The following is a 22,042-nucleotide window of genomic DNA, read 5'->3' as shown; positions in this document are numbered from 1 at the left end:
CAAGTCTCAGGTGAGACCCCTGTTGTCTGTTTTCTGTCATCTGGGTCAATAAGAGACAAACTCAGTGGAGAGTTAAGAATCTATCTTAATTGTTAAAAATATGCACCAGATTTCCTAATCTAAATGTATGTGCACACACCACTAGATGCCAGCATGAACCAGAGCTGCTGAATTCCTGTTCAGAGAGAATTCAGCTCAGCCTTGTTTTGAGAAGTTCTAGGTTCTTCCCCCAGAGGACTATGATGGGGCAACTTAAACCCGAAAATACTGTTCAAGTGTAATTTGTGTAAACTAACCATCTCAGGGGGAAATTTTTCCATATTAATCTTTGTGTAATTTCTGAATTATAAAACTATTTTTAGATGAAGAAATACATCACTACAATTGATACAGAGACACTTTAATTTAATTGGCACAAAAGTATGTTAAAAATATTCCACAGTACAGATGCTCCCTGACTTATGATGGGGTTATGTCCTGATAAACTCATCCTAAATTGAAAATATCTTAAGCTGAAAATGCATTTAATATGCCTAACATATTGAACATCATACTTAGCCTACCTCAAACACTCAGAATGCCCACATTAGCCTACAGTTGGGCAAAATCATCTAACAAGTCCGTCTTGTAAAATGTGTTGAATGTCTCATGGTTGTTTTTCTTGATTCCATGGCTGACTGGGAGCTGTGGCACCCTGCTGCTGCTCAGCATCATGAGAGGGTATCATATCACATATCGCTAGCCTGGGAAAAGATCAAAATTCAAAGTATGGTTTCTATTGAATGGGTATCACTTTTGCACCAGTGTAAAGTGCAAAAATCCTAAGTCAAACCATCGGACAGGAACTGTCTGTATAGGTAAAGGGATAGGCATAGAGATCAGTGAAACTGAATAGAGAACCCAGAAATAGACCCACACAAATATGCTCAGCTGATTTTTGACAAAGGTACAAAAGCAATTCAAAGGAGGGATGATAGTCTTGTTTCCATAAAACAGTACAAGAGCAATTGGATATGCATAGGCAAAGAAATGAACCTTCACCTAAATCTCATAGCTTTTTTTTTTTTTTGGTAGATACAGTTTTTAAATTTGTATTATTTATTAATTTTTAAACTTTCATTTTTAGGTTCAGGGGTACATGTTCAGGTTTGTTATAAAGGTAAACTTGTGTCACCAGGGTTTGACATAAAGATTATACAAAAATTCACTCAGAATGGATCCCAGGCTTAAATCTGAAATGTAAAACTATAAAATTTGTTGTTTTGTTTGCTGCATAATACCAACTAAATTAAACAAACATTAGAGAAGTTGAAAGAATGCAAGGATTTAATAAATCATCTAGCAACAAGGCTGCACTTTGAGCAGCTGCGGGCTCACAGGATTTTCCTTTAAGCCAAGAGGATTCCGCTTGGCAGCTGCGGGGCAAGGCCACTGGTGTGCCACGCCACCTCACACCGCAGCCACCAGACTTCAGAACTGGAAAAGGGTGATTCCGGGGTAATCTCTGCCACCTCCTGCCTAAGGAGAGATCTTGTCCGCTCCCTACCATTTGTCTATCACTGATCGATTCCATTATTGGAAAACTTTCTAGAGCACTTGTTGGGGACAATGTAGGTCTTTCAGGATAGGATGGCCTGTCTCAAAAGGTCATCCTAGGGCCATGTTCTTTCTTCGTTTCCTACTTGTCCCACTCAACAAACAAGGCTAATTGTGGCTACCTCTCAAGGCTGTGAGGAAATAATCATTCATAGCTGAAATGGGTCTTGTAGATATCAGTGATTGTACATTCTCCCCAATATCTGGATTTAGTGTCTAATCGGGTGTTTTTTTGTGACACATGTTGTATTGATAATGATCAATATAGGTTTATTGAGAATAACAAATAATTACACAAATTCAAAAATTATTTTCCTTCATTATACACAGGGCATATCAGGACTGCTTTTTGCAATTATAATTGAGGTGCTGCTGCATTATTTTGTTTAATTATTTCCACCTGATGGCCTGATTAGGAAAATTGCTCACCTTGTTTTCCTAGCATAATGCACCATTATGAGAAGCAATTACTGCAGCCTGTGTCCCCAGCCCCCAGGCTGAGCTACCATCCTACAGTGGCTACCATCCTGTAGTGTGCATGGTCTTGCCAGCGTCCAGATAGAGTTTGAGTTCAGCCATTTGATTCTAAGCCTAAATTCAAATAATCTGTTTTTCAAGAAAGGGTTTTGTTTAACTCTAAGACACTGGAAAGGTGATGTGTGATTTCTCATTTGCTGATGTTTGACGCCGTTGTTGGCGTCTCCGTGTTGGCATGAGCACACTGCTCTCTGCCTCCATGTTGTGTGTTCACACCTGCTCTGGCTGTACAAGCTGAAAGGGTTAAACGTATCCTGTCCTGGTGGACTTTGTGTGGCATTAATGTTTGAGAATAAGTGTGCTCTGCCACCACGTGATCATGTGTGTGTAAACATGATTAAAAGGAAAATGGTGATGACAAGGCTGGTAAGGAAAGTTGTGGAACTGCATTAGGACAGGCAGCCATGCGAGGGCCAGAATGAAATACCCAGTTTGGAAGAAGAAAGGCGGTCTAGATGCCCCTTGGAAGTCACTGGCCCTTCCCAGGTGAAACCATGTGGTGTGGACTCCAGCTGCCTCAGGTGACATCGCCCAACGCAGGTGATATTATCCACTTCAGATGACATCGTCCACTTCAGGTGAAATCACCTACCTCATGTAACATCATCTACCTCAGGTGACATTAACCAGCTCAGGTGATATCTTCTACCTCAGATGATGTCATCACCTCAGGTGACCTCATCCAACTCAGGTGACCTCATCCAACTCAGGTGACATCATCTACCTCAGGTGACATCATCCACTTCAGGTGATATCATCTACCTCAGGTGACATCCACCTCAGATGATGTCACCTATTTCAAGTGATGTCATCCACTTCAGGTGACATTGTGCAGTCTCTTGCTAGCCATTTCCCTAAACTGGAAGAGAGATAGAAAAAAATAAATCCTACCTCTGCCATCCGCCAACAGTGTGAACAAATCCAACTCTCTCCAAGCTTTTGTTTTCATTCCTTAATAATTGAATTATAGGAAAATCATCTTCAAAGAAAAATGCAGTCCCGTGCAGGGGTTGGAGATGGGGCCAGTCAAAGCAGAAGGAGCCCATATGAACAGGCAGATGTTATGCTTTCTGTGTTGGTCCCGTGCAGCTGGTGCCTGCCTGCTGCAGGTGCTCTTTTTTTTTTTTTTTTTTTTTAGACGGAGTCTTACTCTGTCACCCAAGCTGAGTGCAGTGGCATGATCTCAGCTCACTGCAGTCTCCACCTCCCGAGTTCAAGCAATTCTTCTGCCTCAGCCTCCCGCGTAGCTGGGACTACCTACCATGCCCGGCTAATTTTTTGTATTTTTAGTAGAGACAGGGTTTCACCGTGTTGGCCAGGATGGTCTCTATCTTCTGACCTCGTGATTCACCCACCTCAGCCTCTCAAAGTGCTGGGATTACAGGCGTGAGCTACCATGCCCGGCTCATTTTGACAGGTATATTAATGAATGAAGAAGAAATGTGACTGATTTTTTTTGTATCTGTAAATTGCTTATAATTTGAAACAGATAGAAAATGGTTACAACAGAAATGTTGGCTTTCACAGCTGGGAAAGAAGAACAAACGAGAAGCGATGGGTCAACCTGGTTAAGAGAGTAGGTTTCAGGCTCAGACTTCCCCAGGTGCAAACCCAGCTCAGCTACCGTGGAACCTGGGCACATGACTTCACCCTCTGGGCCTCAGTTTCCTCACCTGTATGACAGAGATTATCTCACCTAAGCCATATAATTGCTTTGAGATTTAGTAAGTTGATGCATGTCAAAATGAAGGGCACTGACTACTTTTTTCCTTTACTATATCTATTCATAGCTCATCTTCTGGCTTCGTTGATGAAAAGGGGCATCTATTTTAGGGCAAGATAATTAGCTGTGTCCTATATGATAGGCTGAATAATGCCCCATTCACCAAAGATGTTGAATCCGAAGCACTAGGAACCTGTGAATGTTACTTTACGTGGGAAAAAGGACTTTATAGATGTGATTAAATTGAGGATCTTTGGAAGTGGGGAGGATATCCTAGAGTGTTTGAGTGGCATCTAAAGGTAACCCCAAGGGTCCTCATAAGACAGAGGCTGGAGGGCCGAAGTGGGAGGTGGTGGTGTGAGGAAGGAAGTGGAGATCTGAGTGATGGCCAGGAGCTGAGAAACACCGCAGCCTCTGGAAGGTGGAAGAGGCAAGGAACAGATTCTCCACTGAAGCCTCTGGAAAAAACAGCCTTGCCAACACCTTGATTTTAGCCTTTTGACTATCAGAAGAAGAAGATATTTATTTATTTATTTATATATTTATTTTTTATTATTATTTTTGAGGCAGAGTCTCATGCTGTTGCCCGGACTGAAGTGCAATGGCACGATCTCGGCTCACTGCAACCTCCTGGGTTCAAGCAATTCTCCTGCCTCAGCCTCCCAAGTAGCTGAAATTACAGGCACCCACCACCATGCCTAGCGAATTTTTTTGTATTTTTTAATAGAGCCGGGGTTTCACTATGTTGGCCAGGCTAGTCTCAAACTCCTGACCTCAGGTGACCTGCCCGCCTTGGCCTCCCAAAGTGCTGGGACTACAGGCATAAGCCACCACACCTGGCCAGAAGAATACATTTATAAGAGAATCAGTTTCTATTGCTTTAAGCCACTAAGTTGGTGGCAATCCATTACAATAGCCACAAGAAACTAGTACGGTTGACTCTAGAAAAATGCAGCAGTTGGGGTACTGACTGCTCAGGCAGCCAGAAATCTGCATATAACATTTTACTCCCCAAAACTTCAATATAGTAGCCTACTGCTGACTGGAAGCCTTACTGATAAACAGTTGATTGACATATTTTTTGCATTATATATTTTAGATACTGTCCTCTTACAATAATCTTGAGAAATGAACACATTATTCAGAAAATCATAAGGAATAAAAAAATATGCTTACTATTCATTAGGTGGAAGTGGATCATCATAAAGGTCTTCGTCTTCATCATCTTCACATTGAGTAGGCTGAGGAGTCATAAAGGTCTCCGTCTTCATCGTCTTCACATTGAGTAGGCTGAGGAGTCATAAAGGTCTTTGTCCTCATCGTCTTCACATTGAGTAGTTCATTAGGTGGAAGTGGATCATCATAAAGGTCTTTGTCCTTGTTTTCACATTGAGTAGGCTGAGGTGTCATAAAGGTCTTTGTCCTCATTGTCTTCATATTGAATAGGCTGAGGAGGAGGAAGGGGGAGAAGGATTCATCTCAGGAGGGGCAGAGGCAGAAGAAAATTTGTGTATCAGTGAAACTGCAGAAACTTGGGTTGTTCAGGGGCCAGTTGTACACCCCATTACATGAGATTTCAATTAGTTTAGATGGAAGTTTTTCTGAAAATCTTTGCATAACATCAGCCCTTTTAAATGAGAGATAATGAAGATGTGGCAGGATAACTATTTTTGTTCTATTTATCTTCGCAGAGATTCTGTATAACATAGAGATGCTCCATATTCTCAGACTGCTTTGCTTTTCGAATTGCTGGTTTTCATTTGTAAGATTTTGCAGTTGTTTTTCTCCCTCTCCAGCTGTCTCAGTAGCGGCTTCTCTCTCACTGCTGCCTCCACCCTTACCACCTTCTAGTTGTACAGCTAGAGAAGAAGAATGCCGGTAAAGATGTGTGAAGCACGTGCTGTGTGTTCTGCCTCAAGTGCGTCGCACACGGTATCTCATTTGACTTTCCCAAAACCTCTGTTTACAGATTGTGACAATGAGGCCCAAAGAGGCGAAGCCGGCAGTAAAGCTACACAGGAGGAAGATAGACAGGAGTCCAGCGGTAGAGCCAGGGCCCTGAAAACCACTCTTCACTGTTGTATTAATTGGGGTTCTCTAGAGGACAGAACTAATAGGATAGATATGTGTGTATATATATAGGGGAGTTTATTACGTATTAACTTACACAATCATAGGATCTCACAAGAGGCTGTCTGCAAGCTGAGGAGCAAGGAGAGCCAGTTCGAGTCCCAAAACTGAAGAGCTTGGAGTCTAATGTTCGAGAGCAGGAAGCATCCAGCCAGGGAGAAAGATGTAAGCTGAGAGGCTAGGCCAGTCCTTGTTTTCATGTTTTTCTGCCTGCTTAATATTTGCTGGCAGCTGATTAGATTGTGCCCAACAAATTAAGGGTGGGTCTGCCTTCCGCAGCCCACTGCCTCAAATGTTAATCTCCTTTGTCAACACCCTCACAGACACACCCAGGATCAATACTTTGTATCCTTCAATCCAATCAAGTTGACACTCAGTATTAACCATCACAGCTGTCTCTACATCAACTTGTAGAAAACATTGTGTTGCTAAAACTGTACCTAAAATAGCACTGAGCTAGGCTGTGAGTGAAGGTATGAAGATTAATTCTCCATCAAATGCAATGTGCAGAGTGCTGGATTTTAGCAAGAGGTGACAAGCAGCGACCAGCCCCCTCTATGTGTGTGAGGGTACTCTTCAGATTACTGGATATTAGGAAAAATTATTTTTTGTTCATTTGTATTTTACACAAGGTCTTAATGACTTTTAATAGAGTTGCTCTGAAGGCTCTTTTCTTGGTCATTTTTAAGGAGATATTAGTAACTTTAATTCCTATGACCCAAAATTGCATTAAGGAAAGAGGTCATGTCTTATTATATTTTGCATCTCACCATCTGGAATAGCGCCCAGCATAGAAAAAATCCAGAAAGTGTTTATCAAATAAGTAAAATAAGTAACATATTCTGGAGTACTTAATAATAGCCAGCACTTAATGAGTACTTACTGTGTGCCAGGCAGTAAGCCAGGTGCTGTTTGTTTGTATTAACTCATTTAATTCTCTACTGACATTATAAGGACCTGAAGTACAAGGGCGTTTAACAACTTTCCAAACTACAAGTGGCAGCCCTGAGCTGGGAGCCCAGGCTATCTGGGTCCACAGTTCACACTTTAAAACTTGATGCAGGCTGGGCTTGGTGGCTCATGCCTGTAATCCCAGCACGTTGGGAGGCTGAGGCAGGTGGATCACCTGAGGTCAGGAGTTTGAGACCAGCCTGACCAACATGGAGAAACTCCATCTCTACTAAAAATACAAAAAATTAGCCAGGCGTGGTGGTGCATGCCTATAACCCCAGCTACTCGGGAGGCTGAGGCAGGAGAATTGCTTGAACTCGGGAGACAGAGGTTGCAGTGAGCCGAGATCACGCCACTGTACTCCAGCCTGGGCAACAAGAGTGAAACTCTGTCTCCAAAAAAAAAAAAGCACAAAAAACTTGATACAATACTGCCTCTCTAAAGTCCATAAATGTAACATTTAAAATTATATTTTGCAAAAGACATTTTGCAAAAAATTGGAAATCTGCAGTTGTGTTTGCAATGAAAAACATTATTATATTTTGTTGGTGCCATATAATAACATTGAAAATTTGGATACAACTTTAAGCACCATGGGAGAGCAAAGATTATGTCTTGTTGCCAGTTCATCTCCCTTGCCTAGCAAGCTCAGAGCCTCCTATACAGTATGTACTCAGTAGCCATGTGGGGGCTGTCAAAAGTGCCATGCTGCAAGGGGTTACAGTGATGCTTGAAAAAGTACCTAAAATGCAAAGTTTTCATACACTAATGCAACTTTCATTATATTTTATATTCCTAAATGAAAGGAGTCACATGAAATGGTGTGTGTGTGTGTGTGTGTGTGTATTAGGTCGCTGTATGATAAAGGAAGTAGAACGATATCATGTCAGTGGTCAGCTGGGACACAACATGCCTATGCCCAGGGCAGCGGCCAGCTGAAACACACAGCCCCACGACACTAAATATGGATATTTGCTCTAGAGGGAATTAGTAAATTTGCATATCCTGTTTGGAGATAGTTCTGCCTTCTCGTTTAGTTTTTGCTTGTCTTAGACTCTATAAAAGACTCATAACTGCAGTTCAACAATTGATAATAAAATAGTATTTGCAGCAGTGTGTGGTGGCTCACACCTGTAATCCCAGCACTTTTGGAGGCTGAGGCGGGTGGATTACCTGAGGTTGGGAGTTCGAGACCAGCCTGACCAACATGGAGAAACCCCATCTCTACTGAAAACACAACATTAGCTGGGCATGGTGGTGCATGCCTGTAATCCCAGTTACTCTGGAGGCTGAGGCAGGAGAATTGCTTGGACCCGGGAGGCAGAGGTTGCAGTGAGACGAGATTGCACCATTGCCCTCCAGCCTGGACACCAAGAGCAAAACTCCATCACACACACACACACACACACACACACACACACACACACACACACACACACACACAAAGTATTTGCCCTCATGGTCACACAGTTGAGGCCAGCGCCTTTGTTGGGAGAATGAAGAGTAAGTAAATCTCAGGTAAAATATTAGGGTTAAGACAGATGAGCTTTGGTGTTGAACATGCCAAGCCTAAATTTCAGAAACTTAAAGGCAGATTCCCCTTCATAGTAGATCAGACTGGACCTGGACTGTGAGGACAGACAAGAAAGATGGAGCTCTCCCAGAGCGAAGATGATACAGTGTAGCACAAAGTATAATGGGTCAAGGTCTGGAAGAATTTAGGATCAAAATTCAGCTGATTAATCAGTATCATTTGGGAAATTCCCTTTAAAAAAATGGGGCTTTCTGCCTCAGTGCTGATATTCATCCAGAACACAATACTTAACTGACCTCAACTGGATGACATCTTCAATCAAAGCTCACAGGAAGACATAGCAGCACCAGGCCACATGCGGCAGGCAGCCGTGAGCATAGCCTCCCTAGCTTGTGTCTGGTTTGGTTTGATGCATCAGGATGAGAATCTGCAGCATTCTTCCAATGACAAAGCCAATGGGGCAGCTTATCCTCTCCCTAACTCTTTCCCTGTGTTTACTGTGCTGTAGAGATTTTGCATAAAGTGCTGCAAAGTGGGTAGCAATAAGGGAGCTGAGGTTTCATTCACAGAGGGAAGGCCAGGGATTCTGAATGTTGACTGCAGGTGGGCATTGTGTTTGGCAAATCTCTTCTACTTGAGGTCTGACCTTAGCCTTCTAGACTCTGAAAAACGATCCTGATACTGACCCAGATTGGAGGGGGTTTGGTAATTCTGGTTCATGGTAACAAAGCTCCCATTAACCTATTGAACAATTGAGTTTGTCAGTATATGAATGGCCCATGCCCAGGGCCATGGTCAGCTGGGACACATGGGTTCATGCCGAGGGCCATGGTCAGCTGGGATACACGGGTTCATGCCCAGGACAGTGATCAGCTGGGACACACGGGTTCATGCCCAGGACAGTGATCAGCTAGGACAGACAGCCCCATTCCAATGACAGTGGTCTGGTCAGCTGGGACAGACAGGTCCATGACCAGAGCAGCAGTCAGCTGGGCCACCTAGGCCCCTCTCCTGTATGCCCTGCTCGCTGTCTTCAAGGCTCATTGCAGAGAGTGCTGTGGCCAGAAGGTTGCTTGGTGAGCCTGGAATCAGAACACTCAAGCTTCTGGTATCTCAGACGGCTGACAGCATCAGGTCCCGGGGCTGACACCTAGGGAGCTGCTTATTATACCCCCTGTAATAAGTATTCCCACAAATAGGGATAGTACCCTTGCACACTAGATTTTTTTTTCAAAGTGTTAGCCAAGTACCAATGAAGAAAGAGCAAATGTGAGCCAAGATGACGGTTTGGGCTTGACTGAGGAGAATGACTGTGGACATTGTCCTGTGTGTGCTGCTCCAACCCCCCAGCCCAAATGACACCATTCCCATTGTCATGTTTGCTGTGGTCACTAGCTGGTGCTCCTAGGAAGCACACAACAAAGCTTGCTGGGCCTCTTTCCTAGGCTCCAGCCCTTTGAGTTATGCCTCTGGGAAAGTATCTTGTACTTTTCTTCATCTCTCATGTCATAGTACTCTCTAGAACACTTATCTTTTATGACATTGACATCTAAAAACAAAATAAATAGTGAAATGTGGCCTTTGACAACTTTAATATTGCCATTTACATTATGAACCTTTAACAATTTAGAATGTATAACGAGATGACAAATTTCCTATTTCTGAAAGTAGTCACAGATGCATAGTAGTATAGACACATAGATGCCGTGAACTGTTCCCACAGCAGGCAACGTCCACTCGTGAAAATGCCCATAGACCACCTCGCCAAATTACTGAATGGCCAATGAAAGGACAAATGGAGAGAAAAGGAAGCAGCACAGGTTTTCCAACAAACTGTCCATGGATCTTGTAAAGTGACAACATTTGTGACCATTGTAGGCAGACCCATCTATGCAGCTTCTGTTAACTGTGACAGCAGTCAGGCTAGTTTAGGAAGTCTGCCTCCTGCTTAGCTAGCCCCAGGGCACAAGCCCCTGACAATTGTGCCTGGCTTTGCTGGATACAGTCCAGAGTCGGTCTTTTCTTCCAGTGCTACCAATGGAGTAGTATGGGGCCAGCCACACCCTCTGACCCCAATCCATGTGTGTTCACAGGTGCAAATTTAACAATCAAACATGAGATTTGGAGAAGCTCTTGATTGACCAGCAAGCAAAGTGAAATTTACTGAAAAGTTTAGCTTCATTGTCCTTTATTCTGCCCCCTACAAAAGGATATTATATATAGATAGATATCCATATATACATAGTTTATTCATGTTCACATATATAACATATATAGTTAACATGTGTATGTTTATATATGTTTATGGATACACATGCATGTGTGTGTGTATATACATGCTGAAGGTGGATTAGAAACTATAAGATTGGAAGTAAATATATTCTTTAGAATTATACTAAAACAGAAAAAAAGCTGTATTTTTGTTTTTAAGTTTATGAAATGAACAAGGAAGAGTTTTTTTTTTTTTTTTTTTTTGGACACCGAGTTTCGCTCTTTGTTGCTCAGGCTGGAGTTCAAGCGATTCTCCTGTATCAGCCTCCTGAACAACTGGGATTACAGGCACCCGCCACCACGCCCAGCTAATTTTTGTATGTTTTTTTTTTTAGGGGGGGGTAAAAAAATTCTTATTTATCTATTTATTATTATACTTTAAGTTCTAAGGTACATGTACACAACGTGCAGGTTTGTTACATATGTATACATGCGCCAGGTTGGTGTGCTGCACCCGTTAACTCGTCAACCAAACACCGCATGTTCTCACTCATAATTTTTGTTATTTTTAGTAGAGACGGGGTTTCACCATGTTGGCCAGGCTGGTCTTGAACTCCTGACCTCAGGTGATCCACCCACCTTGGCATCCCAAAGTGCTGGGATTACAGGCATGAGCCACCATGCCTGGCCGGGAAGAGAATTTTAATCTCAGCTACATCATTATCTTTTTTGATCCCAGCATTCCTTTATGTAACCCAAACCTTGGTTCTGTTTTGGAGTTGTAGCCTCAATAACTGTAAGAGATTAAACTTCTGTTGTGATAATTTTTGTTTGTTTTTTGAGATGGAGTTTCACTCTTGTCACAGAGAGTGCAGTGGTGCAATCTTGGCTCTCTGCAACCTCCACCCCCCAGGTTCAAGCAATCCTTGTGCCTCAGCCTCCAGAATAGCTGGGATTACAGGCACCCATCCCCATGCCCAGCTAATTTTTTTGTATTTTTAATAGAGATGAGGAGATTCACCATGTTGGCCAAGCTGGTCTCAAACTCCTGAACTTAAGTGATCTGCCCACCTTGTCCTCCCAAAGTGCTGGGATTACATGTGCGACTGGCCTGTTGTGATAATTTTTTGTGGAAACCCCCAGGAAACTCACACAGCTTATTTAGATTAAAGATAAGAAAGCTATTTCCAGAATATAATCTATTCCCAGAATGTCATGTCCTCAGGCATATCGTTGTTGAACCTTTGATTATATTCTGGAAATAGATTTTTTATCTTTAATCTGAAGTAAATTGTGTGAGCTTCCTGGGGATTCCATAACATATGACCACAATAGAAGCTGATTCTCTCACAGTTCTGGAGCTTACACCTCCAAAATTCAGGTGTCTGCAGGGCCATGTTCTCCCTGACAGTTCTGGAGAGGTCCTTGCTCACCTCCTGCGGCACCTGGCGCTGGCTGGCAAGCCTTGCTCTTGTTGGTTTGTATTATAGACATCACGCCAGTCACACGGCTGGCTTCTTCCAGTGTTTTTACCTCATGTTCCCTCTATGGGTGTCAGTGTCTGTCTCCATATTTCTCCATTCTATAAGGACACCACTTATATTGAACTGGCACCCATCCTAATGGCCTCATTTAAATTTGATTATCACTATAAAGACCTTATTTCCAAGTAAAGCCATGTTTTGAGATACTGCAGGTTAGGGGTCTGCCATGAATTTTGGGGGGACGCAATTTATCCCATGACTTCTAAATTAGAAAATAAAAGAAATCTGTTTTAAAAGGTACGTCATGCTGCTAGGCTATCTGCAAATTAACAGTGTTCCAAATCTTGGTATTGATGTTTGCAAAATTTAAAAATAGGACAATTCAAATTTTACCTTCCTGTTTTTAGAAATCATATTTTTATATTAGCTTATTTATTAAAGTGGAAAACCGATATTAGCTATATATAAAAAGAGAAAGGATAATAGGAAAGTGAGGAAATATAAAATTTTGTTTGTAATATTTCTCTAAATGTTTATCCAGCATCTCCCTCTTCCCCACACCCCTCACAGCCTCCGCTCTTGGATTTCTGCCCATTAAGACTGATAGCAGGAACATCTATGAAATGCCATTCATAATTAATTTTGTTACATCACTGATCATGGCCCACATGTGTTACTGGTGGATGGTATCTGAGTTACCGGCAGCGAATCCATATGGCTCTATAGCAACACCAATTCTTGCCTCCTCAGAGGAAAGAATTCGACCAAGGGGTATAAGGCACAAAAAGAGACTGAGGCAAGTTTCAGAGCAGGAGTGGAAGTTTATTTTAGACAGCTTTAGAACAGGAAAGAAAGGGAAGTACACTTGGAAGAGACTGAAGCAGGCAACTTGAAGGACAAGTGCAATCTTTAACCTTGATCCTAGGACTTTGTAGGCTGGCCCACTTCAGGTGTCTTGCACCCCTTTCCCATGACTCTTCGCTTAGGACGAGCTTCCCGCATGCGCAGTGCCCTCCTTCCCCTTGGGAGGTGAGCATGCGCAGTGTGTTTAGGAAGTTGTAACACCGTTTACATACATGTTCTCAATCTCTCTCTCTCTCGTTGTGGATAATGAGTCAGTTAAAAATTAGTAACTGTCCTTGTTAATGAAAACCTACCTACATTAATACAATACTTCTGTTCAAAATATTCATCGTGACTCAAAATTTTGGGAATGAATATATTTGCTGTTAAAATGCTTCTAGATGCTCGCATATGCCACTGCCTGGCAAAGTCAGAAGAGGGTACATAAATTACCCAGGCGATACCTTCTATGCCCTCTGGACTTTTATGCCTTGTTAGTGTCTAAGGTTACAGAAAAAAGAAATGGAACACTCGGGTTGCCAGGGAGACATCCAAGCCTGTCAACCCCTCTAGCTCTAATAGTGACAAATGGTACTTATTACATCAGGACTAATTTCATTGGATTCTGCTCAGATAAAGATACTTAACCTTTACTGATAAAATTGTGTCGTTATAATTACTTAGTAAAAGACCTTATTAGGCAATAGTATTCTATGTGGATAGACGAACATTTTATTGAGGTTGATTACCTATTACATTGATGGAATATTTGAATGTATGATTTTCTGCAAGACCTTTACTTCTTGGAAAAACCTGCAGCAAAGAGATTTTGGTTTTGTGGCTGCCTCATATGGAGGAAGTTTAAAAATGTGGTTTTTGCAAGTTGTTATTGAAAATCCAGAAAAACAACATATACATTTTTTAAAAAATAGACTTTACATGTCAACTTTTTTGTTGTTGTTATTGAGACGGAGTCTCACTCTATCACCCAGGCTGGAGGGCAGTGGCGCGATCTTGGCTCACTGCAACCTCCGCCTCCTGAATTCAAGCAATTCTCCTGCCTCAGCCTCCTGAGTAGCTGGAATTATAGGCATGCACCACCATGACCGGCTAATTTTTGTATATATATATTTTTTTTTAGTAGAGATGGAGTTTCACTATGTTGGCCAATTTGGTCTCAAACTCCTGACCTCAAGTGATCTGCTCACCTCCGCCTCCCACAGTGCTGGGGTTATAGGAGTGAGCCACTGTGCTCGGCCACCAACTTTTAAAACAAAGCTTTCTATCCAGGCACATAAAATTAAAATATCCAAATATGTCAACGAACCTTTTAGACTTTTAGGGTATATGCCCTCGAAGGCCAAGACTGGAAATAAATTACATTTTGAATGTCAGTTCCATCTGACTGGTAGTGACTGCCTGGAATGCAGAACTGAGAAGGATTCTGAAGTCTTATCTGTGCTCACTAGAAAAGAGTGTAGTAATTGATTAGCAATGTCTGCCATGGGCATGAGCAGGACATGCATCAGTGGATATGCTCATAATTGCCATCCCTTGTCTAAGTTTATAGAAAGATAGCAGTTGTGTCAATGAGGCATTCAGTTTAAAAGAGCCTTTTCTGTCTCCTCCATATGCATTACATGCTCAGAGCCTCCTCATTCTCAGTTTGTCTTAGGCAGGGAAACCACAGCCCTATAGGACATTTCTCAAGGTTGGCTCTGTAGACCTCTTCTAAGCACCCTCCCCTGCAGGGCACCTGGGAAAAGAAATGTCCTCTCCCAAGGAGCTATTTGTTTCAACACTGTCAGAGAGAAAGTCATGGAGATATTTGTCTTAAAATCCAAGTACTTTTTGTTTCCTTTGTCCATTTTGGTTTCCGCCTCTCAGGTGTTAATTCTGCTAAAATGGTGATTGATAATACTGTTGTTTATCTCTCCTGAGAGCCAAAGATATGCCCCTTGATGGCGGAAATTCAAAGACTGTGAGAGGCAGTAAAAGAAAGGCTCTGGGACAGGGTTATTTTTCAACATACACCTCAAAACACACAGCGCTGGCAGCTCCTATGAGAGCACATGTATTTGATATCCAAATTTTTCTAGCCTAGTGTCCCACACCAATCCCACAAGCACAAATGTAATTCTTCAAAAAGGAGCATGCTAAGAAGTGCCCTGAAGTTTGCAGAATGAACTCATGCAGCACTTTCTGAGCAGGCTGGGTTCCCCTTGCCTATGACTATGCTTACCGAAGGTCAGGCTTCCCTTTGACAAGACAGGACAGGTACTGTATGCTTAGTTTCTCTCCTCTGTCTCACCAGTTTCGGAGGCGTGTTCAGGTTCTAACGTCAGGGGTGAGGTGAATCCAGGTGAGGAATGGTGGAGTGAAGGATGCAGTGATGGGCCTGAGCTGCAGGCAGTGGTGATACCAGCTCCTCTCCATGGCTCTCAAGTCTTGAACACACATCAATTCCTCTGTCTTTCTTCATGGCTGAAACAATTGTCAGGTTAACATATTATGGTAAATATAGGTGAGAAGGTGACACTTTTAAGACTATGCCTGAGGCTGTTGCTCCCAGGCACTCTCCTTATTAAGCTTCTATATTAGTTTAATATTAGTTTAGTATGCTGGGTCTGCCATCACAAAGCACACACAGTGAGTGGCTTACAGCGAAAGAAATGCATCATCTCCCAGTTTTGGAGGCTGGAAGTCTGAGATCAAGGTATCAGCAGGGTTCTTCCTTCTGAGGACTCTGAGAGAGAATCTGTTCCATTCCTTGATCGTAGCTTCTGGTCGTTTGCTGGTAATCTTTGGCATTTTGTTGGCTTGTAGAAACATCATCTGATATCTGCCTTCAGGGTCACATGGCATTCTTGTATGTCCGTTTGTGTCCAAATTCCCCCTTTGTATAAAGATACCAGGCATATTGGATTAGTGCTCACTCTAATGACCTCATTCAGCTAATTTCATCTGCAAGGACAGTATTCTCAAATAAGTTCACATTCTGAGATACTGGTGGTAGGACATGAACATACAAATTTTGGGGAAACAGAATTCAACCCATAACACCATAGATACTTGGTTCAAACCAACTCTCCTGAATCCTGACCTTCCTGCTTGCTCCATAAAGTTTGACTTGATTCCCTCAGTTTTCCTCAGGATTTCAGTGGCTTCCACCTTTTGAAAACAAAAGCTGATTTTCTGAATTATAAATACCAGGCATTCTGATTTTAGCAAATGTAGAGGCTTTTGATACGGATAAAGAAAAGATAAACGAAATCCAGAACCCAAGTCATAGATCTTGAGTCATACACTCAAGCGCAGATTCATGTCAAACTGTTTCCTTTTAGTCTTTCACATATATCTATAGACTTACTTTAAAAATGAAAATTGGCATTGTTTATATATAATTTCTCACCGGGCTTATTTTACCAGTGTTACATTGTGATTATCTCATCAAATTATTCAATATTCTTGAAAATATGAGTTTTCTTGAGCTACAAAGCTATCACAATTGGTATCCTGTTACTGTATTTTGCTTTGTGCCTAATTTTTTTGTTTTATTATATTATCAGTCCCTTAATATGTCATTTTCATAACCACTTTTTCTCTAATGACTCAAAAGCATTCCTTCAGTATTTGTTCTAATGATTACTCTTAAATTTTATATATACTTATCCAAACTTTTTTATAGGTGTAAAAGCCAAGAATAAAAAAGTATCTATGGGTTTCTTGGGTATAAAGTGGGTAATTTTATATAATTTTAATTTTTTATTCTTTCTAGTCAGTTCCTTGTTCCAATAACAATAATGTGAGACTTTATACATGGTGATGATGATGCTGACAATGATAGAATTGATTTTAGGTTTCATGACCATATCATATCTTTTGACATAATTTATGTTTAGCTGAGATTAAGTTATGCAATACATTCTTGAGTTCTTTTGATAGGCTAGAAGATGTATCTGAGTAATTTTTCCCAGAAATTATATGTGAGTGGTATAGCTGGTGAGACCTTGAATCTGGGTGAATCTCTTTCTTTGCCCTCATATATGAAAGATAAGATGGCTGGGTATAGAAGTTTGCTCAGAGAGGTGCATATTCTGTTCCATTGACCTTGGATGATGAAACCCAGTGTTTTCATGTATAAATTACCTGTTTTACCAGCCTGCACAGTTAGAAAACTTTCTTTACCCCTATATTTCAAAATTCTTTGATATATGTTTCAGAATTATTTCTCTTTTAAATAATATTTCGGATACTTCATGAATTTTTCTATCTGAAAACACAGGATTTTATGAACTCTTGAATACATTTAAAAAATATTTTCTGGGCTGGGTGTGGTGGCTCACGCCTGTAATCCCAGCACTTTGGGAGGCTGAGGCAGGCGGATTATGAGGTCAGGAGATGGAGACCATCCTGGCTAACACAGTGAAACCCCATCTCTACTAAAACTACAAAAAAAAAAAAAAAAGCTAGCCGGGTATGGTGGCGGGCACCTGTAGTCCCAGCTACTCTGGAGGCTGAAGCAGGAGAATGGCGTGAACCCGGGAGGCAGAGTTTGCAGTGGGCCGAGATCGCACCACTGCACTCCAGCCTGGGTGACAAAGCGAGACTCCATCTCAAAATAGATATATATTTTTTTCTTTAATTATTTCCTTTTCTGTGTCCTGAATTCCTGGAATTTTTGGAAAAAAATAGGTTGAATATTCATGTCCAGTTCATAGGTTTTTAAATTGTTCTATCAGGGGTTTTTTTTCTCTAAATTTTTGTGAAACATTTATAGTTTGTATTTGTATTTTACCCCACTAATTCAATTTTATGCATTATTCTACTGTTTTCAGTCCTTAATTCATTTATCATGTTTTTTCATATCTATCCAGTTTATTCACATCCTAGCCTATCCCCTCATTTTAGCAGATTGTTCTAGTTTCACATACAAAATTCCTTTTTGGTTTATGTTGTGATAATTAATTAGATGTTTTCTAAAACACTAATTTTTACTGTTTGCTAAACAATCTTACTTTTGCCCTTCAGTACCGGCAATCCTGAGCAAAAGAAGGCTTGCTTTGATTGCCAGTAAAACCCATGTTCTTGTGGCCATAATCTTCACCTCACATAACCTAAACACCCTCCTTGGAATATTACAAAATTCTCCCGTTCCCAGCTGCAGAACTATATGAATTGGATTTACAGATATCATAGTTTTTTTCAGCATCCACATCTTTAACTTGAATTTCAATTAAAACTTATTGGTTGGTCAAAACTTAAACTCTTAGAAGATTTTTTGCTCAGATACCATGTCAAAGTTTAGAGGACGTTCACTGAATCCTTTCCTCTGGCCAGCCTTACTTTCCTGTCTTCCCACCCAGACAGTTTTCCAGAATCTGAGCATTGAAATCTCCTGCCAAACACAATGGATAACACTGAATCTCAATGCTTTCAATGGATGGCATTGAAATCTCCTGCCGAACACAACTGATACTCTGGCTTCATGTTCATGAAGGTTCTTTACACCCCTCTAATCCCCTATCGTACTTCAATGGTTACTTCCAAGGAAGTTCTCCAATCTGCCTTTTGTTGAGGAACTTTTGCATAGAAGAAAGGGCAGGTGTATCCACGCACTAGGTCTAGGTTTGAGGCTGCCTTAAAGTTACTGAGGGCAAGGGGCTTCATAATTTGGAGCCTCACCTTCCCCGTTTATACATGAGGATCATGATAGTGGACAGGCATTTTTCTTAGAAATAAATGAGATAATTTGTATAAACAACTTTTTTTTTGTATTTTGTTATTGTGATCCTTTCTTCATGTCTATTATGTCAAGTGATGTACTTATGTGAAAGGGATTTTTTAATTTTTCTTGTGATTAATATTAACTAAGCACAACGATTATAATTTGCTAAGTTAAACTGAATTAAATTGCTTTATATATCTAGAACCAGACCGGAAATATCTGGGTGGTTATTATAGCTAAATTCCATACTATAGCAATAAGATAAAATATGAGTTATTTACTGTCTAATATGGACATATACATGGCTCTGTATATCTATTTTTCTTCATCAAATATCAAATGCAATATTACACATTAGACACAACAATTAACTTGTGTTCATGTTTCTGAAATTGATTCTAATGTATTTTCTATTGTACTCAGAAATTTACCATCAATTTGCAAGATCTTTATAATGATTATTTAAAGATTACCTTATTTCTTCACCTTTATTGTCTTGAAAAATGGTTTCTGCTCAAAAAGAATTAAATCTGTAAATGACGAGTTAATGGGTGCAGCACACCAACATGGCACATGTATACATATGTAACAAACCTGCACATTGTGCACATGTACCCTAAAACTTTAAGTATAATAATAATAAAATTAAATCTGTATGAAATATTATATATTGGCAATAAAAAATGAAAATAAATGAGATAAAAATAGATGTTCACGCAACCTTAACAACTTTACAATGCTATTAAAGGAAAATTTTAGGAAATTTCCTATTCAGTTGGGAGTTGTCATATTGGAAATGCAAATATGGACGTCAGAGTTACAGATATAGTCAGATGCCTCAACCAAATCAGACCAATGTCACCTTTTCAGATGACAAAATTTGAAGGAGCATTGCACGTTCCAGAGTCCCTTGATTTTCACCTGTAATGATAGCTAGTTACATGAGATGTTCTTGAATTTTGAAATTATAAAGCATTTTTGGGGGGCATGAAATGTTCATGAAAGAATGAGATTTTAAATTTTATTTACATTTCTGTTTTTATCTTTCTAAAAAAATCCTAAATTAATTCTGAAATCATCTTGCTCTATAATCCAACCACTAGAGAGTAGTATAATACCTCTCCTAGACATATCATTCATGAAATTTTATTAAAGTTTTTATTATAGGATCCTTATTTTCTTTTAGTTTAATAATTCTATCAACTCAATTGAAGTTTATATCAATCCCTACAATTTTTTTTTGCAAATAGCTCACTTTTTTCCCCAAATTGCTGAAACTACAAACCTGTCATTTTTCATTTTGCTCTTGCTTTGTCTTGAAATACAGTGACTATTCTTGTCTCCAAACTCTTTGTCTGCTTATTTTGGCAAAATGACAACATTTACACAAGAGATGGCAAGAGGAATGTCCATTTTCTTTATTAGATAACTTCAACAAGCATCCATTAAGCACCAAAAACTTACCAGGCACAGAGTGCAACCAAGGGTATTTCTACAAATAATTACGAGGCTTTTCCTTCCTTTATTGATAAAACACGCAGACAGATGAAGACATAATCTGTGTGTGAGCACAGTGGGTCAAGCGATCAGTACAAATAAGGGTAACGGAGTTCAGAAAGGGGAGAAACCAATGCAGGATGGGCTGTCAGAAAAATGCCACAAAGAAATAGAGGAGTGGGCAGGAGCAGAGCCTTGAAGGACAGGTATGAAGCAGAGCGTTAAATCAAATGTGTCCAATCCAGAAAAAGGGGATCCCCTCATGTCCAGCCAAGGCAGGACTTTTCACATCATGTCCAAGTGTGCAGGTCATTTTATTGAAAAAAATATATTTGCACAGAAAAACTGATGAAGTCTAGATTGCAAATAACCTCTTTTGCCTATTTTGGAAGTTTGAAGTAATCCTGTGTGCCTGTAGTTCCCAACCTTTTTTTCTGCCTAAAAATAGAAAATCTGAGCTATAAAACCTATGTGTCATTAATAAAAATGGATAATGATGACAGCGATGCATGACATGATGGTGCCGTCCTGAGAGTTGGGGGAAGGTGTGTATAGGGATTGCGGCAGGGGTTGGGAGAGTTTAGAGAGGGGAAGCAGTGTATAAGGATGAGAAGACCCTCGAAGAGGGTCCCACCGGCCCCCTGGGGAGCCTGTGCAAATGGTGCCTCACAGCAATTACCTTGCCAGGGTGTGAGATCTCCCTTAGAGGGATAGAGGCATTTGTGCAGTTCTGCAGATCAGATTTCTCCAGGGCCAGGGCAACTTCCCTGTCCAGGCCTAGGCCAGTTCTTTTGTCCTTTCAGGATTCTAGATTTCTCTTCCAGTATTATCACAATGTCTCCTAAGCAACTGTGCTCCTTGAAAACATTTGGTCTCACTCCTCAGCATCTTGCACAGTGACCATCCAGACCTGGGTCATTCATTAGTTTGTCTACCTCATATTCATTTCTCTTTGAAATACATCTATAACTCAGTATATTAGCTCTGTTTGTTGTTTGAACAGTCTAACAGTGGTGCCACCAACTTTTGGCACGCTCTGTTAAAGAGACTGTAGATGACAGTGCCCTTTTATATTCCGCCATGTTGCACTGCTATTTTGTCCTAGAAATTGAGCCAGTTAAATTCCATCTGTCTTTTCTTTTTTTATAACTATATAAAATCATGTATCCTACATTTAAATATAAATACAGAGCTTTGTTAGAAAAAATCAGGCTCGTTTGATGATAATCTTTAATTTGATATCAAGAAATACATTCTATTGAGTACCTAACATGTGAAAAACGTCCAAATCAAATTCCAGGTCTTTTTTTCTCAGGCTTTTTCTTCCTTTGTTTCCATGGAATCACACCTTCTTTCTGTAGCTTTGATCCTGGAAAATGTTGTAGGCATATATTATAAATCCTGCTATATGTAACTTTGGATATATTTTATTGAGGGTAAGAAAATTGTCTCTTGGTTACTTGTGAATATCTATATGCTGAATAAAGCTGAGATGAATAAATAGCTCTTCCTTCCTTTGTCCCATGTCTTGATAAATTATCTTTTTAGCTTTTAGACCTGATGACTTACCTTGTGCTTTATCAGAACACTTTGTTGCCTTAGGCAGGTTCATGTCGGCAGGTAATGACTCACTCGAGATATTCTCTGCACTTTGATAATAATAATCTGTGATTTTTGAGACATACCTATATAGCTAACTGGATCAATGTATTTCACACTGCAGGTTGCACTCATTGTTAGGATCTGAAATACATTTAATATTGTAAGGCCAACATTAAAGAAAAAGAAAGAGAAAAATAGGGACTAAG

The 22,042-nt window shown here is 40.5% G+C and overlaps 1 protein-coding gene and 1 long non-coding RNA gene across 4 annotated transcripts in view, besides 1 other annotated feature; one reads left to right on the top strand and one right to left on the bottom strand.

The window, feature by feature from the left end:
- Positions 1-22,042, top strand: part of DSCAM (DS cell adhesion molecule) — an 836,160-nt gene that overhangs the window by 410,543 nt on the left and 403,575 nt on the right. The gene's annotated exons all lie outside the window — the stretch shown is intronic.
- Positions 15,121-16,320: an enhancer, noted in NCBI's record as "CDK7 strongly-dependent group 2 enhancer chr21:41792223-41793422 (GRCh37/hg19 assembly coordinates)". NCBI's record gives its function as "activates an origin of replication core promoter dependent on BRD2, BRD4, P300/CBP, MED14 and CDK7 cofactors, with strong dependence on CDK7, by STARR-seq in HCT116 cells {active_cell/tissue: HCT116}" and the evidence as "EXISTENCE:reporter gene assay evidence [ECO:0000049][PMID:35650434]".
- Positions 15,402-21,014, bottom strand: LOC105369294 (uncharacterized). Its single transcript, XR_001755058.2, has 3 exons — positions 20,914-21,014; positions 15,672-15,905; positions 15,402-15,493 (listed from the first exon to the last, which is right to left on the bottom strand). It is a non-coding gene; the product is annotated as an uncharacterized LOC105369294 (long non-coding RNA).

This window comes from Homo sapiens, chromosome 21, assembly GCF_000001405.40.
Source record: "Homo sapiens chromosome 21, GRCh38.p14 Primary Assembly".
NCBI classification, from domain to species: domain Eukaryota; kingdom Metazoa; phylum Chordata; class Mammalia; order Primates; family Hominidae; genus Homo; species Homo sapiens.
Note: the sequence above shows the minus strand (reverse complement) of the source record. Positions and strands in the feature narration are given on the sequence as shown.